The sequence below is a fragment of the Homo sapiens genome, chromosome 1 (genome assembly GCF_000001405.40).
Source record: "Homo sapiens chromosome 1, GRCh38.p14 Primary Assembly".
Taxonomy (NCBI): Eukaryota; Metazoa; Chordata; class Mammalia; order Primates; family Hominidae; genus Homo; species Homo sapiens.
The window spans coordinates 233469910-233474431 of NC_000001.11; the positions used below are offsets into that span (position 1 = coordinate 233469910).

The window sequence follows — 4522 nt, forward strand, 5'->3', positions numbered from 1 at the left end:
CAGTGGCTCACGCCTGTAATCTCAGCACTTTGGGAGGCCGAGGTGGGCAGATCACCTGAGGTCAGGAGTTTGAGAACAGCCTGGCCAACATGGTGAAACCCCATCTCTACAAAAATACAAAATTAGCCGGGCATGATGGCAGGTGCCTGTAATCTCAGCTACTGGGGAGGTTGAGGTGGAGAATCACTTGAACCTGGGAGGTGGAGGTTGCAGTGAGCAGAGATTGTGCCACTGCACTCTAACCTGGGCAACAGAGCGAGAGTCCGTCTCAAAAAAATAAATAAATGAAATAATAAGTAAATAAATAAATGGCCTCCAGTTCCATCCATGTTGTTGCAAAAAAAAACCAAAAGTCACATGACTTTATTGCTGAATAGTATTCCATTGTGTATATATACCACATTTTCTTTATCCAGCCATTTGTCGAGGACACAGTTTGATTCTGTATCATTGCTGAGTCTTTTAAAAGGACTCACATTCCTCAAACGAAAATTATTTTTTCAGCCGATACCAGTGGTTGTCTCTGGGGATGGACCTGGGCAATTGAAATGGCTTCTTAAGGAGAACTTTACCCTTATCTGCAATGTTTAACTTGTACACCTATAGAAATGTATTAATTATATAATTTAAAATTCATCACTTAACATGTGGGTAGAGAAAAGTCAGCATGTGAAGGAGACAGAGCAGAAGCAGATGGGGGCAAGTGGGAGGACGAGTGCTGAGGTAGAGCTTCAAGAAAGAGAAGGGAACCAGCAAGTGCTGCTGGCAGGGAGGGCCAGGTGAGGGGACTCAAAGTGATCCTCAGTTCTGGCAGCTGTGTGCTCACTGAAGACTTTAGCAGGAATTCTTTCCATGGAATATAAAGAATGTAAACCATAAATAAAGTCCTAAGTCCCTCCAATCAAATAAACACACTCCCTCTGGGCCAAGGGTATCCCAGAGAAACCTGGGAAAATTCAGAAAAACTGAATTCCCATGGGTCATGACAGGAAGTGAGGTTAGACATGCCTCGTTATACCCCTCCTTTTTGGAGTTTAGGCACAATGGACCAGCATTAACATTAAAACAGCGATCATAGGACAGGCAAAACAGACTCTTTGTGGCAATAAGATATAGCATATCCAACCCGACTCTGCTATAGCATCACATGACAGACAGCAGACCCTGAAAAAAAATCAAAGTAGTTTACCCTAACAGATATTTCTCTGACATATTTTTAAATGGCCTTGCAAAGTCGTCTTTTGTGGGGAACATTTTGCATCTGTAGGGAATCTCCATTAATGCAGCCAGGCCTTCCCCTGATCTAGGAGAGATTAACTGAAAGTCTGATACCTTCAGGGTCTGAAAAGAGACAGTTACCATCTATTCTCTCTGAAGCTTGCCACCTATGAGGCTTCATCTACATAACAAAAACCTTGGCCTCTACAATCCCCCTTAATTCAAGCGTTTCTTTCTACTGACTTCGAGTCTTTAGATGAAGCCTCTCTCAACCAATTGCCAATCAGAAAAATCTCTGAATCCACCTGTGACCTATAAGCCCCCACTTCAAGATATTCCACCTCTTTAGGCTAAACCAATGTACACCTTCCATGTATTGATTTGTGGTTTTACCCGCAATTTGTGTCTCCCTAAAATGTGTAAAACCAAACTGTATCCTGACTTTGAGAGGCGTTTGAACCAGAGCAACTCTATCTTGAATAGGAGTTGGGTAAAATGAGGCTGAGACCTACTGGGCTGCATTCCCAGTCGGTTAAGGCATTCTAAGTCACAGGATGAGATAGGAGGTCGGCATAAGATACAGGTCATAAAGACCTTGCTGATAAAACAGGTTGCAGTAAGTAAGTGGCTAAAACCCACCAAAACCAAGATAGTGAAGAGTGTGACCTCTGGTTATCCTCACTGCTACACTCCCACCAGCACCACGACAGTTTACAAATGCCATGACAATGTCAGGAAGTTACCCTATATGGTCTGAAAAGGGGAGGCATGAATAATCCACCCCTTGTTTAGTATATAATCAAGAAATAACCATCAAAATGGGCAATCAGCAGCCCTTGGGGCTGCTCTGTCTATGGAGGAGCTGTCAGGGCTCTGAGCCCAAGCCTGCACTTATAAATCCAGATAGCCTGAGGCAACTGAAGAACCACAAAAGAAGTGAAAATGGCCAGTTCTTGCCTTAACGGATGACATTACCTTGTGAAATTCCTTTTCCTGGACAATGAGTCTCAGAAGCTCCCCCCACCGAGCACCTTGTGACCCCTGCCCCTGCACGCCAGAGAACAATCCCCTTTGACTGTAATTTTCCACTACCTACCCAAATTCTATAAAACTGCCCCACCCCATATCCCTTTGCTGACTCCCTTTTTGGACTCAGCCCGCCTGCACCCAGGTGATTAAAAAGCTTTATTGCTCACACAAAGCCTGTTTGGTGGTCTCTTCACATGGACGTGTGTGACAGTAGCCATTCTTTTATTCCTTTACTTTTCTAATAAACTTGCTTTCTGTTTATGAGACTCGCCCTGAATTCCTTCTTGCATGAGATCCAAGAACCCTCTCTTGGGGTCTGGATCCAGATTGCTTTCCTGTAAACTCACCACCTCAAACACACTTCCTCAGAACCTGTTGAGATTGTTCTCTGGGCCATGGTCTGTCATATTGCTCAGAATAAATCTCTTTAAAATATTTTACAGAGTTTGGTTTTCCTGTTAATATAACATAAGTCACATTGGAGGAAGTTGAAGAGAGAAAATTGAAGTAAGGAAGTAGAGATAGCAAATATAGACTACATTTCTCAAACTTTCACTGTGCAGGGAAGGAGGTAGAGGTTGGAGAAGAGTCTCTGTTTTGCAAAGATGCTGAAAGTTGAATGCCCTGAGGAGAAGGAGCCAGTGGAAAAGTGTGTCACGTGCGTCTGTGTGAAGAGACCACCAAACAGGCTTTGTGTGAGCAATAAGGCTTTTTAGTCAACTGGGTGCAGGCGGGCTGAGTCCAAAAAGAGAGTCAGTGAAGGGAGACAGGGGTGGGGACGTTTTATAGGATTTGTGTAGGTAGTGGAAAATCACAGTCAAAGGGGGTTTTTCTCTTACAGGCAGGGACAGCGGTCACAAGGTGCTCAGTGGGGGAGGTTCTGAGCCAGGAGAAGGAATTTCACAAGGTTAATTGCTCAGTTAAGGTGGGGCAGGAACAAATCACAGTGGTGGAATGTCATCAGTTAAGCCAGGAACCGGCCATTTTCACTTCTTTTGTGATTCTTCACTTGCTTCAGGCTGTCTGGATGTATACGTGCAGGTCACAGGCGATATGATGGCTTAGCCTGGGCTCAGAGGCCTGACAAAGTGGGCATGGGAAAGAGGGGGTTAACTGGCAAAATAGGGTCATGCGTGAACCCTGTGGGCCTGGGGAGATTGACAAGAAGAGGCAGCCTTCTCTGACAAGACAGCAAAGAAAGGAAGGACAGGGTCAGTGACATTAGGTTTGTAAGGGTATGGAGTTGAAAGTTTGTGAAGTAAATCCAGGCAAGATTTTCCACCAAAAAAACTGTACAATGGAGGAGATAGAATTTCAATATTTACATGAAGATTCACTATTAAGACATTACTTTACAGGTATATAAAAGTATATTATCATGAGTGAGTGATGACTATTGGGCTGCTGGTGTAGGGGTAAAAGAATTTACCAAGACGGTTGTAAGTAAAGAAAGGCAGATTTATTGGAGAAAGAATGAAAACATATTGCGAGGAGGCAACGGGCAGACCAGCAGAAGAGGAGCTGACTGCAAGGAAACAAAGACTTGCAGGGAATGTTATAGGGTGGCTCTTAGGGTGCAGAGTGCTACGTGCAGCACTGGTAACATCTGAGGCAGTGCTCCTTTTGCGGGGGCACTAGCTGCTGGGTGTCTGTTCCTGCAGACCCCTGTTGGCGACGGATGAATAAAGTACACTGACACACAGGTATTCTGCTTTGCCAGTCCAGCTGAGGGTGCCAGCCACTTACAAGCTCCAAGCTGAGTTCTGTAAACAGTTGCAACTTGCCCCATCAGATAGTGAGGCTCCCATTTATTCACTAAGACTAATTAACCAAAGTTGTGAGTAAACACCAGTAGAGGGTAAAGATTAAAGGCCAGGTTCCCGGGCCTAAAGCAAACACCATAATAAATAAACTTCTGCCCACCCCTGAGTAGGAGGCAGGAAAGTACCCGCAGTAGGACAGAGGTCGGTCTTAAGCCCATATACGTAAACAGGTTAGTAAGATAAACTTCCCACATGCCTTTGTACTTGCACCCTAATCTTTCTGGCTCCTATAAAGAGACCCTGGCTGCCTTCGGCCAAGCAATCTGAAGCTACACAAACTCAGGCCTTCAAAGAGAGTTTTGTGTCTATTTCTATAGCTATCTCTAATATTTTTCCCACCAGCCTGATTGAACCCCAACAAACACCAAGGTTGCAGTGAGCTAACTTGCAATGGTGATATCTGGGTGCAGGAAGATTGTGAGTTATTTGTGCAGGTGGGCTATGTGTCCTGA

At 44.6% G+C, this 4522-nt stretch overlaps 1 annotated feature.

Moving 5' to 3' along the window:
• Nucleotides 841–1728: an enhancer, noted in NCBI's record as "OCT4-NANOG hESC enhancer chr1:233606496-233607383 (GRCh37/hg19 assembly coordinates)". NCBI's record gives its function as "activates a minimal SCP1, AML or CMV promoter by ChIP-STARR-seq in naive H9 embryonic stem cells {active_cell/tissue: H9 hESC(naive)}" and the evidence as "EXISTENCE:reporter gene assay evidence [ECO:0000049][PMID:30033119]".